Raw genomic sequence first — 21,578 nt, forward strand, 5'->3', positions numbered from 1 at the left:
TGGAAAGTGCCCTGTCCTATCTCCTGCAGAGCGGTGCATCAGAGAGAAAAGAGAGGGCATAAAACCTAAAAAGTTTGGAAATTTTCTTTAAATACTTCATGCATACCTGTGAAAAAATAGAGTAGAGCCTATCTGTGGCGACTGTTGAAAACCAGAGAAACAAAAAAAGACTTTAATAGAAAACCAACTTCATTTAAATGTTGGAGGCAGCTGCTTTGTTTGGAGTTTTAATCCCATGCTGGTGGATGCTAATTCTGTAACATTATACAGTTGCCTTCTTTTGGGTACAAAGGTAGAAGGGGGGTTTTCTTTTGTGTTTTTCAGTGCAAAGTGATTCTGATCAGAAAGGCCCAAGGTTTCAGCTCCAAGTACCTGACATTTCCATCTGAATCTACTTTTTTTTTCAAAGGGGAAAAAAAAAGGTCTAGTTTTTCAGGAAAAGAACCTCTCTACGCAATCCTGAAACTGATCTTTAGATTTACTTTTCCTTAATCAATAGAAAAAAACTTGATTGCAGCTCAACACTTACCTGTCTCTAGTGCAGGACTAACTTAATTTTTGGTTTTAAGAGTACGAGATTCAGACATTATTTCAGGAATCAGAAATTATTGGCAACAAGTTGAGGAGAACTGACATGAATTCTTGTTTTACCTAATTTTTTCTGGCTTACCAAGATTTGGCTTAATATTTCTGACTCAGTTCCTCCAGCCTCTACAGAACAGGTTAGTGACATTTTTCATAAATACAAATATCTAAATGAATCCTCCTTACTTCTCTCTGAACCGGTTCCCTAAGGGCTCTAGTCTTAAACTTGCACGGCATCTTCTCCATTAAAGCTGTGTGTGATCTCTGCTAAACCTTTGTACCCTTTCCAGCAAAACTGTCTAATATTTAATATGTGCTTGAAATTACAACATATATACTTGACAACTAAAGATTTGCAATAAAACTCTCACAGGATAAATTCATTGCCTTTCCCGTGAAAGTTTGGCTGAAGAATTGTGATAACTTCAAATGATAAGAGGAAGGTTTTTCTTTTTTAAGAATACTGTCAGGAGGAGACTTCATGGTCTAGCCACACGCTTGGGTGATGTCTAACTTGAGCTTGCGTCCGTGTTCTCATCGCAGCTTTGCAGAGTGACACAGACAAAACATGCTCCTGATGGAGGGTAAAGCCACCATGCAACCGATTGTAAACTAACACGAAAACAAGTTTCTCTTTGCTGTGTTCCTTCTTTAATTAACTTGCTGGAACTAATTGGTTGCTTGTGCGCTGGATTCTATTTTTATTGTGATTCCAACTCTGGATTGGTCCTTTTTTATTACTAATGTTTCTATCATTCATTTCACTGTGGGAAGTCAGTGAACAGAGTAGACTGGCCCTGAATCTGGTCAATACTTCAAAATGATGGATCGGCTCCATTCTATGGAGAAGGTGATGGCAGACTCTAAATTCTCCTAGCTGTAGAACACATTGTGTTTTAACCAACTTTTGTTTGATTCTGATGGAAAGCTGTAGTGAAAATTAGGAAATCCAGGTCTCACTGGGGTGTGGTTTCTGCTGCAGAGACACAACCCGGGACCTGCATGCATCTTTAGCGTTGGGTCCTAGTTTTCAGCGCTTTATTTGATGCAGAGGGGATACCTTTCCTTTACGCATACCACTCTCACTGATCCTAAATAATTACTTGACAGTTTGAATGATCTCATTACACTTCCAGACTGGCTTCTTCTGGGCATCTAATTTGTTCATGAAGTGTTGAACTTCGGAGGACCTGCCAGCATTCAGGGGATTTCAGCCCGACTCAGCACTGTTGATGTTGTTATGTGAATTTGTTCTATGACGGTTTTGATGGTCTTGGGATTAGCCACTAAACACACCTGGTGTTCTGTTTACTCTGGCAAGCTGGGGATTTTTTTTTCATTTTCTTTTTAAAATTCCAGGATGAATTATTCATCATTCCTTAGAATTTGGGTCTCTTTCATCTTCGCACTTGTACAGCACCAAGGTGAGTACTACAGAATTCCATAAAGCTCTCAGTTAGCATGCTCTTGAATTGATAAAGAGACACTTTTATTGGAACCACAATTGTAAGGGCAGGTGCATGTGTGTCTACAGATACAAGAGAAAAATGTAATTAAATTCTATTATCAAGGGTAAAATTCATTAACTTTAAATGAGGTTTACTTATATTCCCACTTTTTTCTTATTTAACTTCAAATACTATTTGTATGTACCAGCTTGCCCTGTGCTAGTGGAGTAGATCTTTAAAATTACGCAAAATTATTTCCATTAAAAGTAGATAAGATAGGGGTATGTGCACTTCATGTCTGATCACTGATTTCCATTAAGGCATTTAATTTGTGGTGGAGACTTTAAAGAATCTACTTATTTCGGCCAAAAACTAGGAAATTACAATAGCATTGATGTCAGTGGTTTGTGTATCAGTGACCTTTTACGTGGCCCTCAAATCTAAAACTTAAATAAGACAATTTTTCCCCTCAGTGATTCCTTCTTTTTCTCTGTGTAGCACTGCCCTGGGTAAGTGAAAGGCCACATATGTCTTTTTTCTACTGTTGTTTTGGATTTTAGACAAAGACGGGGCGGTCTACGTAGATTTTAACTTTTTATGGCTAAAATTCTAAGGCACCTTTCTTTACCTTGCGAGTTTGTCTAGTTCAAGTGGCACATGAGTACAAGTCTGAGATGAACACGTCAAGCCCCTGTGCAGTGCTAATATTTTTCCAGAATTGGTGAATTTAAGCAGTTAAACCATAGTGTGAAACCCCACGGGAATGAAAGAGGGCCCTTGACTTCAACCTCCTACCCCAGCTCCAAGAAAGTACATTTTATTTGGTGGGAAAAAAAAAATCCTGGAAACATAGCTATGTTTATTGTGAAATTCTCAGCTTAGGGCAAGCATGGATAGGGATATTCTTTCTTTTAGCAACTCTGATGTTATTGATAGGCCATGCTGCTAACAGTTTTATATATATATATAAAAATAATAATGGCTTCTGCAGTGTTAATTACCGTAGTTTAAACCTACGCCCTTGTGTTTAGCACCCTCTTTTTCATTTGACAAGTATTATTTACCATATTAGATATTCTTAATGTTTGTATCCTTCTTAAAATTAAAAATATTTAACAGTCCGTTCTTTCCTATTCAAAATTGTGAACTAATTAGGATCACCCACGAAGAGAAGAATCTTGCAAACTGCCTCACCTTTGCAGCAGAAGAGGAAGTTAGGGTCATTCTCCCTGGCCATGGTTTTCCGTCTCCTCCATGCGGTATTATGGGTTTTCCATTCCCTAGGCAGATTGGCCAATCAGTGCAGCCCAAAATACCAATTAATCTTTCCATACAGATGATGATAATTCAGTGTGAATTTGAGCCCTCATTCATACTTGGGCATGACTCCTAAAAAGTTCCCCATGAAGGATAAATCCATGCCAGGACATAATTTGTTACTGTTAACTTCAGAAATAAGTACCTGTGTATAATACTGTAGTAGAGATTATAAAGATTTTTTTTAATTAGTACTTCCAGGAATTTTTAATTTGTTACTATTATGTAAATAGAAATGTTAGAAGACCCCTTTTCACCTGCTGGTTGTGACATTAAATACAGCTCATGGGCCCAGAGTGCCTATGACCCGACACAGCGCCTCCTACAGCCTCAAATTCGGGCTGCTTCTCAGCAACTTCTGGGGTTTGGACGATGCATATACACGAATGACCAGATTAGTTTTGCTGCTCTCCTTGGATGTCAGCCCCTGGAAAGAAATTAGCCCTCCGTTGAGGCATAACTCCTCTTGCTCCCTGCTTCAGAACTGGAGAGCTGGCTCTTGGCCTGGTGCAACAGGCCTGCTTTCTGGCCGCTTTGCACTCCTCTCTTTTACATGAGCTGTTGTCTGTTCACCAAAAGCCTCCCAAAGGAGCAAAGACAGTCCTTGGCCGGTTGCTCCCCAGCCTATTGCTTCCATCAGCACAGAGCAGGGACTTTCCCAAGTAGAAGGCCCGACATGAGAATGGGGGTGTCGGCATCTCATAGCAGCAAGCAGGTACCTCAAGAAGTGTGGCCGATGCCCAGCATGGTCTTGCCCCTGCCCCCGAGAATGAGAAATTTAAAGAAAGGAAAAAAGGGAGAAAACGATAGTGTCCTATTGTCTTATATTCATTCAGGAGAAGAAAGGACAGAGGCAAAGAAAAGTAACACCCAAAATGTAGATTATTTCACAGATGCTATTGGACTTGATCCTCAGTGATGCAGACCCTAGGGAACTTGTCTCATTTCTCCCACAAAACTGAGCCACATCTTGCAACAGTATGGACGGGAAACCTGGGAGCAGCAAGCCAGGAGAGGAGGTGACCCTGTCACAGCGGGATGCAGTGTGTGTTTGTGTGATGGCTCTCCAGTGACCAGGAGGACCAATCAGAGCCCTGCAATTCATTCTCTCCAAAGAGTTCTCAAGGACCCAACCCTCTGACCCCGGAGGATCTCATGTCTGTCTTTTGTAAAAAAGGAGTTGGGCAAAGAGCCTCTTGCAGGGCCGCCCTCAATCAAGGTCATTCATGGGCCAATTGCTACAAATCCTCTCCTCCCACTTTTGTCTCAGTTCCCACTGTTGTTTATTTCCTTCTGGGATCTGGGATTTTCTCCAATTGTGCAGCAAGAGGGAGGGAACTCCTTTCAGGAAAACACACGATAGTGGAATTCTTGAGCTAGAACAGGAGCTTCAAAACTGTGGCCATGCCAGACCTAGAGGCTGCCTCTCAGTATCCAGAAAGCTCAAGGTTTCCAGGGAAATTTCACAAATTTCCAGCCAGCTGTAGCCATAGATATCACCAAGATGCATGAAAGTGCAAGAACATGCACAAAGTGCTTTCTCCTATGGAGAAACAATGTCACTCCCATTTTCCCGTTTCCCAGAGCAGAAGATACTGCGCTGTGTATGGCCTAGGTTTAGGATGAATGACAGGGCAGTATGACTTGCATTCAGCTTGCAAGCCCTACTGAAAGAAGCTGGCTTCAGTAGGTAGGAGAGATGTAGATTGCCAAACGGCAGAGGGAGCTGCCATCTATCTAACCATCATCTCTCTTGACAGCTCAGCCCAGGGAGCTCATGTATCCATTTTGGCAGAATGACACCAAAACCCCTAAAGTAGATGATGGAAGCTCATCTGAGATTAAGTTGGCCATCCCAGTTTTCTTCTTTGGCGTTCCTTACCGCACTGTCTATGTAAGTGGAGAAGCAGCCCATCTGTTGTTCTCTGGCCCTCCCTTTTGTTTGTCATTAAGAAAAGCATTTTAAGTATCCTCTTCCAGAGCTCTGGGAAGGGAGGATTTATTGGCAGCCAAAACGACAAGTTCTGAGATTTCATGAGCTGATAGGTTTTATGAATAAGAAAGTCAAAGGTATATTTAATGGCTAATGTTCATAGTGGAGGAGTATACAGGGCAATAAATTGCTTTTGTCAGTGATTAAACATAGAAGTGAAGCAGAAGCCCCAATGCCATGAATGTTATTTCTGCTACTCAACGAGATAAAAAGATACAATGAACCACAGTAGGAGCAATATCATTTTTCTTTCCCTTCTGGGGGTGTGAAAAGTTTAGGCATCTGCTGTTCTTGGGCTTCCTACCAATTTGAAGCAGAGTCGGAACACAGTAGGGGGGTAATCAACTATTATATCAAAGTTGTTTGCAGAATTGGCCACCCTCAATATGGGTCTGTAGATAGGCCAGAGGGTCTCATCGCCCAACCCACACTAAGAAATGGTCCCATTTGTGATCAGAGCTCTCCTAGGCACCTGTGTTCTCAGGTTTTTGTTTTTGGTTTTTTGGATCATTGGGTTTGCTGCTAGCGAAACTGTGGCACATGAAGAGGAAGATTCAGAGCAGCCGAGCCTGGCTTTATTGTTGGCCTTAAAGAACTGGGTGAGGGATTATACCACACCCCTGGAGGAAGAATGCAACCCTAAGCATGTCCACCTCTGGCCATCTCTACGTCTGGGACCTCTCTCTTCCCCAACTTTTGATTTATGGCTCCGGGATGATTCCCGCTAGAAAAGAGTTCACTATTCCATTACCTAACGGTGGTCCCTGAACCTGCAGAAGCAGCGTCACACAGGCACTCATTAGCAATGTCATTTCTCAGGTCCCACCCCACACCTACTGAGTCAGAAACTCTGGGAGGAGGAGCCAGTAATCTGTGTTTTAATGAGTCCTCCAAGTGGTTCTGATGCCCACAAAAGTTTGAGAACCACTGATCTCAACCATAGGATATAATCAAGACACACGTGAGTCATCACCAGCTTCCTCTGCCAGTCTGTGTGTTTTAATTACACCTGTTGTTCCCTAGCAAACACTTCATTCTGACATCCTGAAACGCCTTTTATACTCTATTCACGGCAGGGCCTCCCTAGTCTGTCTTTGTAATAGCTGGTTTTAAGTTTTGGGTTGTGTTGACCTGATTTTGGCAATAAGGCAGTGAGGACTTCCGTGCTGGAAGCCCAGTTAAGCTAGTTTTTCTTCTCTATTGCACTGTGTGATATGGAGTCTGAAGAATTTTTTCTTGCCCTTGCAACAGGAGGTTCCTTAGCTTGAGGCAGATTTATTTGAGGGTAAATTGTTCCTTGCGTTTCCAACACTTTGAGTAGTGCAGTTTTCTTCAAGCCTCTAGGATGTTCCCAATTACTGGAAGACAATAGGCTCTTAATGTCTCTTCCAAACCCAAAGCCTTGCTTCCAAACACGTAGACCTACCCTTGGTCCAGGCCTTGATAACTTGCCTCTGGGATCTGGGCCACTGTTAATGTCCATAATGTTACTGGTTAACAGAAACTTAACATATGATTGGAATGTATAGGAAAATTATCTCCAGGTTTTCTATATCCAAGAATTGCAGTTCCCATTACAGGTACCTCTGCTGCTGAAGCCGTGTCAGCCACAGGGTTAAATCAGTTTATCTACCAACGTACAGAGCTGCAGATTCACGCAGAGGCTGAATTGTTTACAGGTCCCTTGTAAACTGAGGGTATATCTTGGCTTGTGATTTCCAGTAAGGTTTCCTATTTAATTGGTTTACTAAGCCATTTACAAATCATGAAGAAATCACCATAAGATAGTCATTTACATAAACAGTGTAAAGTAGTCATGCCTCCATTTTTATGCAGCGATTGTACCAGGACACTATCACACCACATGAGCTGGAATGGAACTGGGCATCTGTAGGTCTTAACCTTGTCCTTGCTCTGAGTGCAGGAGTGGTTGTGACATCAGTGGAGGTCTTTTAAATGTCTCACCCAAAGCAGAATATTTTCATCAGAGACTGGAGTTGGATGAAGGAGTATTTGATTTATCTTTCTCTGACACTCCTCTTTTGTCATAAAATAGGAAGCAAGCCCTAACATAGGGCACCTCAATTTTCAAATTTAACTTTACTTCCATGCTTATTTATTTTTCCTGCTTATTTTGTATTAGTGACCCTGAATCTGTCTTTAGTACCCATGTTACTCCCTGTCTGGCCCAGCACATACACGCATGCCACCCCCAGTACACACATACACACACACACCACTCCCAGTACACACACATCACACCTCAATATACATACACACACACCACCCTCAGTACACACACATGTACACACCAACCCCAGTATACACACACATACACACCATGCCCAGTACACAAACATATACATCCCACCTCAGTAAGCACACACACCCCACCCCTAGTACATACACATATACACACCCACTCCAGTATGCACACACTGCCCACCCCAGTACACACACACTCCAATATACACACACACATACACACCACCCCCAGTACACACACACACACACATCCCAGTATACACACACACCACATCCCCCGTATACACACACACTCCCCACCCCAGAATACACACACAAAGCCCACTCCAGTACACACACATGCTCCAGTATACACACACACCTCACCCCAATACACACACACATACCCCCACTCCAGTACACACACACTTACACACCTCACCCCAGTACACACACACACACCATCACCAGAACACACACACCCATACTCCTCACCTCAGTACACAAACACACACTCACGCACCTCACCCCAGTACACACACACCCTTCAGTACACACACATGCACATCTCACCTGTAGTACACACATACACACACACAGAAGCACAACTCAGGAGCATTTGATAAGTGTAATAGAGACAGGATAGGGAACATGAAAATGAGACTGATTATTAATCAGAAATGAAGCTGGTTACAAATCTAATGTGAAAGAAAACCAATGAGTTTGTCTGGAAGTAAACGAACCTCTTAGTCTGAGCAATGGAACCCGGTGTTTGGGGGTTCTAATTCAGTAGTTTAAAAGTTGTTTTCATTCATACAGTTAGGCGAATGTCTGTCTTGGTTTGTGACTCTGAAGTTGTTATGGTTTCAGATCCACTGTGCAAAACCTCTCTTATTTTCGTAGGTCAATAACAACGGAGTTGTTTCCTTCAATGTGCTAGTGAGCCAGTTCACGCCAGAATCCTTTCCCCTGACAGATGGGAGAGCCTTCGTCGCCCCATTTTGGGCAGATGTGCACAATGGAATTCGAGGCGAGATCTATTACAGAGAGACCATGGAGCCTGCCATCTTGAAAAGAGCCACCAAGGACATCAGGAAGTACTTCAAAGACATGGCAACCTTCTCTGCCACTTGGGTTTTCATTGTGACATGGGAGGAAGTCACGTTTTATGGAGGCAGCAGCACCACACCTGTAATAATTCAAATTTTCTGCTTTCCACTTCATAACCTGACATCTAATTCTTGTCCATCTTCGCTACCACGAAGGAGTCTAATTATTAGAGCTAAGGAGTGTCAGTTCCCTTGAGTTAAACTAATGAGTTTTGCTACCCACTTTGCAGGAAACAGAGGGAACTATCACAGTTAACCAGCCCAGTCAGCTGTAATATTTCAGAAGATATGTCACCCCTATCACAAATCATCACTAATGCCTAAAAAAAAACCCTCAAAAACTTTCCTGCTGTAAGTGACATTGCTGTTTTGCAGGAGAGTGCTTGAGGCACTGAGACCCATTCCAGGCCACATGCTTAGGGACCCATCTAGGGACCCAAAGGTCCTTTTCTCTTGCCCGAGGTACAAGTGCCTCTCTCCATCCCTGATTTCCTCCCTCTCTCCCCAGTAAAATTTGGTTGGAAGAGAAAAATAGCGTTCCAAGTTTGGGCCCAAATGATCTGGCTCATTTTATTATGTTGTGACATCTTTTTTATTGTTACCAGGGCTGAAATTATTCATATTTGATGTTAATTAGAGTGGGCAGTGAAAGCATTTCATGAATAAAGTTTCAACATCTGCTCTGAAATCCCAAATAAGCAGTCAAATAAAAGTCAGATAAGAAAGATTATCACTGCCATTATTGCAGAGATAATCAACTTTCTACATAAAGGGACAGAATGCAGTTTTCACAAAAGCCTGCAGCTTGTTTGGGTGACTTTGCCAGTGGAGAGTTTTGAAGTAGTAGACACATCTTCAACTGTATAATTTCTAGTAAGCAAAGACACTCAAAAAATCTGCCCTCCACTTACTTAGGATTATTTCCAATTCCATCTGTTTTCCAATTTCCTTGGCAACGAGTCAATTGTGGAGGGGTGGAACAAAAACGACTGAGTTAGAGAGAGGTGAAAAAGTGCTGGGCTTGCAGTTCACAGCTGCGACACCACGAACACATTATGTTTTAGCACCTCCTAGCCAGAGCATCAAGAAGCACTTTATCGCTAAGAGGTTCTGTAGAACAGAAAGACACAAGTTTAAACAGCGATGCATTGGCTAGAAATAACCTCTAAAGAAGCACACATTTCCCTCTGTCACGTTATAGATCGCTAACGACTCCTCGGGTGATGTTTTATGTCCTTTAAGCCTCATATCTTACAGCGTTAGAATGTGGGATGCCAGCAATTGATAAATTTTAGTGTCATGGGGTTGGGGGAAGAAATGCCTATCAAATGCTGACCACCAGTTTTTCAAAAAAACTTCCATTGGCAATAAAAATGGCAAGATAATTTAGATACTTTCTGGCTTATACTTTGGAGTATATTTCTGAACTAGGTGAGAACTCTTTCTGTGAGGATGAATGAAGTAACATCTAAGTGCTTTGAGCTCCTTGGAGTAAAAAAAGATGATGTAGTTCTCTGGAGCTGCAAAAGTGTCCATCCATCCCCATCTTTGAAATTGGCCCCACCTCTTTCATCCCGTTATTCCATGTTTCCCCTTCTGTATAGAAACACATATGATCAGGCCAGCTAAACACTGGGCTTGAGAGGTCTTTCAAAGGCAAAAATTCTCATGCGACGCCAACAGAAGGGAAGGAAAAGGGACATGTTTACTTCAAGGAAGGAAAACTAATATTTACTGAGGGTTTACTATGTGTCTGGTGCTGAAGGCTATTTTTGCATATCATTTAACCCTCCCCAAAATGTTCCCGGACAAGTACTGTCTCCAATTTCAAGGGAAGGGAACAGGCCGGGAGAGGCCAAGTATCTCGTTCAAGTGGCAAGAAAAAGAATAGGATTCAAATCTCCTAGGAGACAGAGCAGGGTTCAAACCAAAGTCTTCCAACTCCAAATCCCAGACTCTTCTTTCTTCAGCTGCCTCCTGCGGGTATTGCTGAAGTCCTCAGAAGCAAAAAAGATTTTTTTATCCAGAAGAGTCTTGGAATGAACGTTGAAGAATTCTGTAGTGTGAGAATGTGTAAGAGTGAGCTGAGGTGCGTGCGGGTGGCAGTCAGCCTCTGGGGTGTCACTGGTATGGCTGGTTGGTTTAGAGGTGACTTCAGGGGTTGGAAATGGATTGCTCTTGAGATCTGCTTGGACCAAAGATATTTCCAGCTTCACTGTGGGAGAAGGAATTCCCTTCTGAAGGAGAATCTTGGTCTGAAGGAGGCTCTAGCTTTAGTCCTTGTGTGACTTTGACTTTGCCCCTGTCCCTTGAACAAGAGCCTGCTGGTGACCTTACAGCAATCTTGAGCCTACTGCTCACTCATCTCTGTGTCCCACTGTCCTCTTCTGTTGAATGGGGCCAGAGACTGAAGGCGTTTACCTGAGCAAGTCTATCACAAACGCCATCAGCCGTGGCCAGCACAGAGCATGGGAAGAAAAGTTCTTTACAAAAAGGGCTGTTCTTACTCATAGCTTGCCTCCCTTTCTGGGATCATCTAGAATGGGGAGATTTGGGGCTTCCAAGATCCTCTACCCCAGTTTGATTACACAGGATAAGGATTTGTGTCTTCCTCTGCATCAGACAGAGTGTCAGGCAGCTGGGAAAAGTGCTAGGTTTGAATAGAAAAAGGTCAATGCAGCCTCTCCTTTTAACTCTATTTCTATTAAATTTTTTGAAAACATGTGACAAGGGGTGAGGATTAGCAAGAGGAAAATATAAAGGACAGGGTTTGCTACAGCTTATTTCTGAAAACCATTTACAAGTTTCATATGAATTTAAGCAACATCTCTATCCTAAAAAGTTTAAAATGAAGACAGCATGGAATGGCAGTGCTCTGAGAGATGGACTGGGAACTCTGGCGCAAATCTCGTTTTCTGTTGCTGGGTCACTGTGAAATTTCTAGTAACTCATTTCCCGCAGTCCCTAGTTTTCTTAACTATAAGATAGGCGTGGGCCAATACGATCACCCGTCTTAGCGTTGGTCTGGGGTACAGATGAATGTTAACGATTTTCAGAAATAAAGTGATGCACAAATGCTCAATTAGAGGAGTAACTTCTCCCCAGAAAGTGCTTTTTAAAAATCACTTTCCCACTTCCATTTTTAAAAGGGGAGACATCTCATCAAGATTAATGTTGTTTTCCGGGAAGAGAGAGAGCGCAATCCGCATGGCCACTTTAATCACACGGACTGGTATCTGCTCCCTCTTCCAACCCGCTCTGCAAGGGGAACCGGTGGTTGCATCCTGGTCCCCGGCCGAGTCTTTCCTGTAGTTTATTCTCATGCTGCCATCTATAGGTGCTTTCATATTATCACACGCTTAGCCGGGCCTCTGAATTTTCTGTCTGGTAGAAGTCAGAGATATAAGTGGGCGCTGAGTCAGACTCTGGGTTTATCTCAGGCAATTTCTCTTTTAGAAGCACAGTCCCACATGTCTTGCTTTTCCCAACGGAGGCGAGAACAAATTCAGAGAGGAGTCAGAGCTGGAGGGCCTGGCTGCAGAGCAGCTCTGAGCTGCCTGTGGGTGGGGAGGGCGCAGGGTGAAGGGAGGACCTCCTTGGGGCCAGGACCTCCTGGGGAGTGCAAGTCATGAGACTGCGCATTCCCATCCTGTAGGTGAACACCTTCCAGGCCGTCCTAGTGTCCGATGGCTCCTATACATTCACCCTCTTCAATTATTACGAAATCAACTGGACCACGGGGACGGCGAGTGGCGGCGACCCCCTGACAGGTCTTGGTGGAGTGATGGCACAGGTAGGTGGCTCTCCACTTCATCCCCCGCGTGTTTCCGTCGCTGCACTCTCTGCTTCTGTGGCTCAGCATCCTGGAGGGAATCCTGCCACCAGCTTTTAACTAGAGACGCAGGTCTGATCTCGCAGGTGGACTACGAGGCTAGTCCTGCCCATGTTTGGCACCCTGACTCGGCTATGAAATGAACTAGGCAGTCCTTTCTCACCTAGAATGCTGGCCCCAGTGACTCCAGGAAAAGACGGCTCTTGATTTTAGAGGTGCTGGATTTTAAAAATAAGGTAGTTGGGCCAGTTAACCCATGGGGAATTTTTGTACTCAAAAATCTTGTCTTCCTTTTGTGCTGCAGGCAGGATTTAATGGTGGAAACCTCACCAATTTCTTCAGCCTCCCGGGGTCAAGAACCCCCGAGATCGTGAATATCCAGGAGACCACAAACGTCAATGTTCCAGGCCGCTGGGCATTTAAAGTTGATGGAAAGGAAATTGACCCAGCCAATGGCTGCACCTCAAGGGGTAAAGCTTTTCCTCTGTCTGTGGCAAGGCAGGGTTTGTTTAGTGTAGATTGACAGGCAAGCTTTTAAGCCACGGGGGCGGACTCATTCCTGATGCCTTACTCTTTTGACATCTCTCCGCTGGGTAATGGAGATCAAGGTAATTTTAGCATGTGCATTCATCACATCAGAAGCTAAAACACTGCATTCACTACCTTGTGGCTTTGGAAGTCCTTTTCTGGAGTGTGCACACAGTTATCCGTTCTGAACAACTCCGAAATGGACCAAGATCTTGAGTGATTTCTGAGCCAGAGGGACAGAAGGCAGCCCTCCTGTTTAACATTATTTTTGTTGTTGTTGTTGCCATTTCCTCCCCCCGCCCTTTATGTTTTTCTTCTCATCCTTATTCTCGCTCTGTCTTCTGCACTTTGTAGATCTACAGGAATGGGTGCAGTTGGAGTATTGCCAAGTTCCTATGAGGGTAAATCAGTACTTCCTAGTATGATTAGAAAAAAAAGAAACAAAAGTTCTCCTAAAATCTTCCCAGCATCAGCAAAACGTGCAGGAATTTGAGGAGAATCAAAGCTGACTTTGGGTATCTGTGAGTAAGCTGTAGTTGAACCTGGGTGGATGTCCTTCACATTGGGCACCCAAAGTTTGGAGCCTTTTCTGAACTATCGAACCCCTTTAGATGTGCAAACTCACCATGGACTTTCAGAGAAACATCCTGGTTTATGAATTCCTGCTTTTTTGTGTCCAAAAATATTTAGAAAACAGAATTTCTGATAATATTTCTACTTCCAGGAGTAGAAGCTACAGAAATTAGAAGAAGGAAATAATGCCTCTGTTCATTAGTCCATCCACCCACCCATCTATCCAGCTACCCACCCACCCACCCACCCATCCACCCACCCATCCATCCACCTACCCACCCACCCATCCACCCACCCATCCATCCACCTACCCACCCACCCATCCACCCACCCATCCATCCACCTAGCCACCCACCCATTCACCCACCCATCCATTTATCCATCCACCCATTCACCCACCCATCCATCCACCTACCCACCCACCCATTCACTCACCCATCCACCTACCCACCCACCCATCCACCCACCCATCCATCCACCTACCCACCCACCCATTCACCCACCCATCTATTTATCCATCTACCCATTCACCCACTCATCCACCTACCCATCCATCCATTCATCCGTCCACCCATTCACCAACCTATCCATCCACCTACCCACCCACCCATTCACCCACCCATCCATTTATCCATCCACCCATTCACCCACTCATCCACCTACCCATCCATCCATTCATCCGTCCACCCATTCACCAACCTATCCATCCACCTACCCACCCACCCATTCACCCACCCATCCATTTATCCATCCACCCATTCACCCACTCATCCACCTACCCATCCATCCATTTATCCATCCACCCATTCACCCACCCATCCATCCACCTACCCACCCACCCATTCACCCATCCATCCATTTATCCATCCACCCATTCACCCACCCATCCATCCACCTACTCACCCATCCACCAACCCATCCATCAAGTCATCCAGCCATTTAGCAAGCCATTGCATCTTTCTGAAAAGCATTTTAAGAGCCCCATTGAAATGCCAGCCACTCTGTGAGGTGCTGGAGATAAAGCTGCTCTAGCTACCATGACATTACTATGGTAGAGGAGACAGAGCCATGGGAACAATGATGACACAGCATAAGACATATTATGGTAGACACTTGTGTAGGGTACTGTGGAAACACAGAGGAAGACCATGGGAAAAGTGTTTCCAGACCTCTAAGGAAGTTTTGGATAGGAATGAGGAGGTGCCTTTATCCCCTCAGATAGAAGCTTGGACTGCTTGTCTTGGCAGCCCTGGGAGGCCTCGGGGTTCTTTCTTGGCTCAGATTCAATTTGTTGTTGTTGTTGTTGTTTTTTGTTTAGGAGACAGGGTCTCTCTCTGTCACCCAGACTGGCTAGAGAACAGTGTCGTGGTCATAGCTCACTGTAACTTTGAACTCCAAACTCCTGGGCTCAAGTAATCCTCTCACCTCAGTCTCCTGAGTAGCTGGGACTACAAGAACCACAACCATGTCAGCTAATTTTTATTTTTTGTAGAGATAGGGTCTCAGTATGTTGCCCAGGCTGGTCTCAAACTCCTGGTCTCAAGCCATCCTCCCATCTCAGCCTTCCAAAGCACTGGGATTAAAGGTGTGAGCCACTGCACCTGGGCTCAATGTGTTTAATATACAGAAAAGCCACATTCACATGGTCTGACACACCTGTGCCCTCTGCCCCTTTCCCTGTGCTGTGATTAGTGCCTTCGCTCTAAGGTAGGTCATGTGTGAAGATGGCCTGCCTGGACCCTTGCCTCTGTGGACTCTGTAAAGTCCCCCATGTTCAAAATAACAAATAAATGTTTTGCAGCTAAGCTGGTATTAACTGGATAGGAAATAATCTAGTTCCAGAGCTCATTAGGATTTGAGATTGTACCCTCCTCCCCTACAGAGTGTAAATACGGCATCACTTAAGGTCTGTGAGAGATACCAACTCAATACTACATTATCTCCCTCCCCTGTATAGCCTGGACCAGGGGCCTCAGAAGTTGCAGACTCTTACCCAAATACCTCTTCCCTTTGTCCAGGCATCACAGAGATGACTGGCTATGGCCATACAACATGAGTGCCCAGTGACAGCCTCTCACCTGGGTCCTGGGAATGAAATGCTGTGATAACGGAAAACACTGGCTTGCAGAGCTGCGGAGTTGGTCAGATGCCAGCTGTGTACACAGTCTCCACTTTGACTTCATTCTTTTCCTCCTGAGTTATAGGTTTGGGTTTCATATACGGGATGATTTCAATATCCTTATATAGACTGCTATGCATTTTTATGTGCCTCCGGACATATATCAATCTAATGAGACTGGGATTTGGCCTGGGGTATAGCAGGGGAAGTGTTCTGTAGAGCTGGTTTATTATATCATCATTCCACAAACAAAATTATCTCAAAGAGTCTACCTTTTGGTCCAAACCTCCTCTATTCAAAGGCATTTTCCTCTCACTTATTGAAAGCCTGAAAAAGCAGGGCCTGGAAATGATGCTGAGTGGAGGCTGTCACAATACATACAGCCCTGAACTAGTGCCAAGGAGTGCTGAGGATTAGGACCTGTTTTCAGGGCTGATGCACATGACTTATTGGGAATGTGACTAAATCTATTCTCTCATTTTTCAACCCTATTCTCAACAGGTATAAAATGGAATTGCCTGTTGAAACATCATTGTTCCTGTTGGGCAGATAGAGTCAAGACTGTTACTGATACACCCGCACCCTCAACTTGGGTTAACCTTGCAGCCTTGTGCTATTCACTCGATAGTCAGTTTTATAAAAACTTGAGATGTTATTTACATTTCTTAATGCTGTGTCTTTGATACTTGCCTTTTCAGACATTCTCATTTTACAAGTGCTTCTACTTCTATCAACCTGTGTCAACTTTTTTATAACATCGCTGTTCTCTGTGAGACAGGGATGAGAAACAGCAGTATCCACATTTTACAGGTTAGGAAAACAGACAGGTGGAAGTTGAATGAGTAGTCTTGGAAATGGATTGCAGATTTGTGACTGCTGCCCAGTTCTCTTGACCCCAATCCCCCAGCAAGGACTAGATCACAGTCCCCAGCCCAGACGTGTTTCTATTTCAATTAAAGGTTGATGTTAGCAACCAGAAAATTTCAAAGTTTTTTGGTGGGGAGGTCATTTATTTACAGAAATGATTTTAAAGACTGCATGTCTACCAAAGAAATAATAGTGTTTTTAAAATTATCACATCCCTTTAAACCATTCCCCTCCCCTTTCCTCATTCTCTTCCTGACCTAGAATTTGTCAAGAAGGTCTGTCCGGTGCATAGACAGAGAGAAGTCCTGGACTTGGACAGGGCCCTAGAGTGGGAAAGAAGACAATTTGTGTAGGTGTAAATCCTGCCTAAGCAGCATCTGCAGGATTCATGAGCCTTTAAATGTGCAAGAAAGTGGTCAGTGCTTTCCAGAACCTTCCCAGGGAGTTTGGGATTTATACTCATGCATCTGACTCCTGATTAGTGCTATTGACCTTTTCCTGCACATACTGGGCCCCCAACAAATGTCTGTTGAATGAATGAACAAATTAGCAAGCAAACAGTGAGTGTTGCCGAGTAACCTGGGTAAACTGGGTCTTCCTTCGGAAGGAAAGGCAGGAAATGACTCCAAGTGTCATACCCTTTTCCATGGATTCATGATAACGTGGTTTTCCTTGAATGTGAGTTTGCTCACCAGCCATGGAGATAATAATACCAAGAGCTTAGACGGGATTCAGACAGACTCCTCTCGGAATCCTGGCTTTACCACGGAGCTGCTGAGTGATCCTGGATGAATTACTTCACTTCTCTTAAGGCTCAGTTTCCTCATTTGTCAAATGAGGGTGACCATACCTCCCTAACAGGGTTCTTACGTGGATTAAATGGTATAATGGAAGTAAAGCATTTAGCCCAATGCCTGGCACAGAGGGGAAATGCTCAGTAAATGTTGGCTCTAATGTCATTATTCCCCAGGACAATTCCTTCGGCGAGGGGAGGTGTTTTGGGATGACTTGAACTGCACCGTCAAGTGCCGCTGTCTGGATTTCAACAATGAGATCTACTGCCAGGAGGCTTCCTGTAGCCCCTACGAGGTGTGCGAACCCAAAGGCAAATTCTTCTACTGCAGCGCTGTGGAGACCAGCACATGCGTGGTGTTTGGGGAGCCACACTACCACACTTTTGACGGCTTCCTCTTCCACTTCCAAGGCTCCTGTGCCTACTTGCTGGCCCGACAGTGTTTGCAGACTTCCAGCCTCCCTTTCTTCAGTGTGGAGGCCAAGAATGAACACCGCAGAGGTTCAGCCGTCTCCTGGGTGAAGGAGCTCTCAGTGGAGGTGAATGGCTACAAGATTCTCATCCCCAAAGGAAGCTATGGAAGAGTCAAGGTGAGCCCCTTTCTATCCTTCACGGGGAAATGGAGAAGCTGGAGATTCTTCAGCCTAGGGAAGACTTCCCCAGATCTACTGGTTCTGCTGTTTGTCTCTGTACAGTGCCAAAGAGATGCACAGCTCTCCCCGCCTTGCAAATAGCTTGTAAAATACTTTACTGGGCCAAATTTTATGTGTACAAGAGCTATCCTAAGCTCTCTCCTCAACATGTCTATCTGCTTTTAAACTTAGAGTACATTTATATTCCTAGTTCCCTCATAAACACTGATAGGCACACACACACACACACACACACACACACACACACACACACACACAGTTCAGAAAAACTGGAAAGAGATAAGTTTCTCATGGTCCTGGCTTGCAATAATTGTAGCCACATAGCCATGCCCTGGAGATGGTACAAACACAATACAAACCCCCAATTCACTACAGCCTTTGATTAATAATCCTCACCCCACCTCAGCCCCAATTCTGTTTGCTCAAGAGCTGCTGCTTCATTTTCAGAGAAACCTCCAAATGGATTGATGTCTCCAGAGGTACCACCTGTGCAGGCACCTGGATTGGCTTTGGTGACTTCCTTAGTGAGGCTTGGGTGGGAAAGTCCCATGAAAGCTCTGCCCAGACACCCCTCGAATAGAGTCCCCAACTCCCACCTAGAATAACAGAGAAGAACATGGGCATCTGCTGGCCAGTTTAGCATATGCAAATGATTCCTGTCACTGTCCACCTGGATTTCAAGCAGGGACATCAACAAAAGAGAAAAAGCAAAAAGCTACTAGCAATTACTCAATTTGTGCAGGCCCCAATTTTCATAATGTTAATCAAGACCTTGTTGCAACCGTGTATTTATTCAAGCAGTAATAACCAAGACCACAAGGGGCTGATTGCTGCAACCCAGTGCAATCCTTAATCCCCATGCATGGAGGTCATTACAGAGATTACAAACCAGAACTGATGCCAATGCAGGGATTTATTTCTTTTTTAAAAAAATGTGTTGTAGTTTTAATTGATGTAGCATGTCCAACAAAAGGCAGGGCCAGGGAACTAATTCCACTCTTTCTGGCTCTGCCTTTCCCAGGTCTGTGCAGTTTATCAGTCTCATTATGAGGAAAGTGAGCTATTACTGTGGTTGAAATGCCAGTGTGCTTGCTATTTGGTTAGTCTCTGTAGGGACAACTCTGTATATCAAATCAAGGCTAAGAGTTTAGATATAGAAATTTGGAGATTTTCCCTTTTAAATTTATATTGTGCTGTTGAGCACTATACTTATCCTTGTAGATAGATGCTGGCATTTCAAGCTAGAAAAAATTTTCACTAGCTTCCCCCTACTTTCCTGTATTTGGGGATGATGTGTATATCAGTAGTTGAAAAAGAAGGCTTCATGCTTTATTCCTATTTTGTATTTTGATTAAAATTCTTTTTTATTCTCAGTCAGATTTTTTTTTTAGAAGGAAAGGGACACCGTAATTTCTTTCAGGCCCAGCAGCTCTGCTAATTTTGCGTGACTCTGTTCCATCGTCCAAGCATAGGGCATGGATTCCTCAATTTTCTGTAGCGACAGGGCGATGTGGGTGAATGTAAATGTTTCAGAAAGAAAAGGTTATGTGACTCCAACTGCAAGCTAACAATGGCTTCCTTTTCCTTTTGCCAAATGGTTTCCAAGCGTCTCTGAATACACCTGCCCTGCTGGGGAGACTGGCTCGATGGATGGCAGAGCCCCGACCCAGGGTGATGTGGGGACAGGCAGGGAGAGGGCTGGGAAGCAGGAAGGAGCCTGAGATGCTGGGAGGCAGCTGACTTCTTCAGCCATGCTGTGCCAGACCAGAAATGGCCACTAAGATCTGTTCTTCCAAAACACAGACCCCCCTTCTCCAGCACTGTCTCCATATGCTGGGATTAGGAGCTGGGTTCTGTACATGGATTTTCCCCACTGAACTGTTCTCAAATAACAAAATAAACAGTTTAGGATTAGATATACCAGTAGGACCAAAAAAAGGCAGCATAAGTAAAAATCCATCTAGAAAAAGCGCCTCCTTCTAGCTAATACCAGTTCTCATCTTTCTTCCCCGCGTGAACACGAGTAGTTTAGGGTGCTCCAGTGAACAGGGAGCCAAGGCCAACTAGCCCATGGCGATGAGCAGCTTGGACTCTAGGGCTGGACCTGTTCAAATTCCTATGCCACCACTGCCAGCTGAGTGGCCTGTTTGAGCTTCGTTTTCTTTGTGAGACAGGGCCCTCTAGGAGGCAGAGCTCCTGGGCTGTAGCTGGCCTTGGCGGCCTCTCCTCAGCACTGGGATACAGGCAGCAGGGAGAAGTGGAGAGAACCTGGCTTTGGAGCTCGACTAGGAGGGGTCAGGCTCTGTCACTTGCAAGTCACACCAGCCCCCATCCTCAATTTCCTCATCTATAAAAGGAGAAAATGATAAGGACCTCCTAAGGCTGTTATGAGAATTAAATAGAACAGCCACAGGGCAATGTCCAGTACAAAGCCTGGCACACAGTAGGTGCTCGGTGCATGCTGGCTCCCTGTGACCATTCCCATGGAACTTTCTTTCAGTTCCAAGACCTGTGCCTCCGTGACTCCACTTCTCTCCTCCTCCCCCTGCCCCTACCCACATCCTGGGAGAGGTACTGTGGAAGAGTGAAATGGCCAGAATGCAGGCAGAAGAAAAGCAAGCAAACAGGCGAGGCTTATCAGCTGTCTGCTAACCATAGGTTGAGGACAGGGTCAGAGGAATGAAGCAAGGAATTACATTTGGGGACAAGAGTTCTCTGGGATCTCCTGCTCTAAGCACTGTGGGACACAAGCACAATGACTCTATAGGGAGAGTGAAAGGGGGTGCAATGATCACTTATGCCAGAAAAAAAAAGGTATCAACTGGAACATTACTGACACCCACAGTCACCCAGGTGTCAGGTCAGCCTGAGTGCGACAAGAACAGAGGCAGGGAAACTGGCGTCCTGAGGGTTGTGATGGTGGGGGGACTGTAGAAATATCCAGAACCAGCCTACCCCATGGCTTCTGCTTTGGGACACAATAAGACTTTGTCCCTTGCTAGCAGGAGCTTAAGTAAGAGCAGAGGAGCCCATTCAGCAGTTGACGTATTTGACATTCATAATTATACCAACATTGGGGAAGATTTCCCCTTCCACTTACCAGCACAGAACAATGGATAAGTGTTCAGCACTCTTACTAGCTGACCTTCCCTATAATATGGCTCTTCTCTCCCTTTTTTCTTAGGGTAGGAAAAGCCATATTATAGGCAAGGTCACCTAGTAAGAGTTGGCTAACCCTCTACCTAGGAGACAAGAATAAATTAATCAACTCCTTGGTTTTTCTTTCTACTTCTAGCTCTCTGCAGGATGGTTTATTTCTCAAGCTTATTTTCTTATTCCCTTCCCCCATTGCTATGATCTAAATATTTGTGTCCCCTCAAAATTCATATGTTGAAATTCTAACTCCTAAGGTGATGGTATAAGGAGGTGGGACCTTGAGGAGGTGATTATGTCATGAGGGTGGAGCCCTTATGAATGGGATTAGTGCCCTTAGAAAGGAGGCCAGAGGGAGCTCATT

The 21,578-nt window shown here is 44.4% G+C and overlaps 2 protein-coding genes across 2 annotated transcripts in view; both read left to right on the forward strand.

Annotated features, from left to right (window-relative positions):
* The window catches only part of TBCEL-TECTA (TBCEL-TECTA readthrough), a 167,389-nt gene that overhangs the window by 76,619 nt on the left and 69,192 nt on the right, over nt 1-21,578 (forward strand). The window contains exons 8-13 of the mRNA NM_001378761.1: nt 1,945-2,009; nt 5,111-5,244; nt 8,491-8,778; nt 12,352-12,489; nt 12,833-12,998; nt 17,586-17,998. Of these exons, the coding sequence (NP_001365690.1) occupies nt 1,945-2,009; nt 5,111-5,244; nt 8,491-8,778; nt 12,352-12,489; nt 12,833-12,998; nt 17,586-17,998 (1,204 nt within the window). The remainder of the gene's footprint in view (nt 1-1,944; nt 2,010-5,110; nt 5,245-8,490; nt 8,779-12,351; nt 12,490-12,832; nt 12,999-17,585; nt 17,999-21,578) is intronic.
* TECTA (tectorin alpha) overlaps nt 523-21,578 on the forward strand; it is a 90,248-nt gene continuing 69,192 nt past the window's right edge. The window contains exons 1-7 of the mRNA NM_005422.4: nt 523-722; nt 1,945-2,009; nt 5,111-5,244; nt 8,491-8,778; nt 12,352-12,489; nt 12,833-12,998; nt 17,586-17,998. Coding sequence (NP_005413.2) covers nt 1,946-2,009; nt 5,111-5,244; nt 8,491-8,778; nt 12,352-12,489; nt 12,833-12,998; nt 17,586-17,998 — 1,203 coding nt within the window. The 5' untranslated portion in view covers nt 523-722; nt 1,945. The remainder of the gene's footprint in view (nt 723-1,944; nt 2,010-5,110; nt 5,245-8,490; nt 8,779-12,351; nt 12,490-12,832; nt 12,999-17,585; nt 17,999-21,578) is intronic.

The sequence above is a fragment of the Homo sapiens genome, chromosome 11 (genome assembly GCF_000001405.40).
Source record: "Homo sapiens chromosome 11, GRCh38.p14 Primary Assembly".
Taxonomy (NCBI): Eukaryota; Metazoa; Chordata; class Mammalia; order Primates; family Hominidae; genus Homo; species Homo sapiens.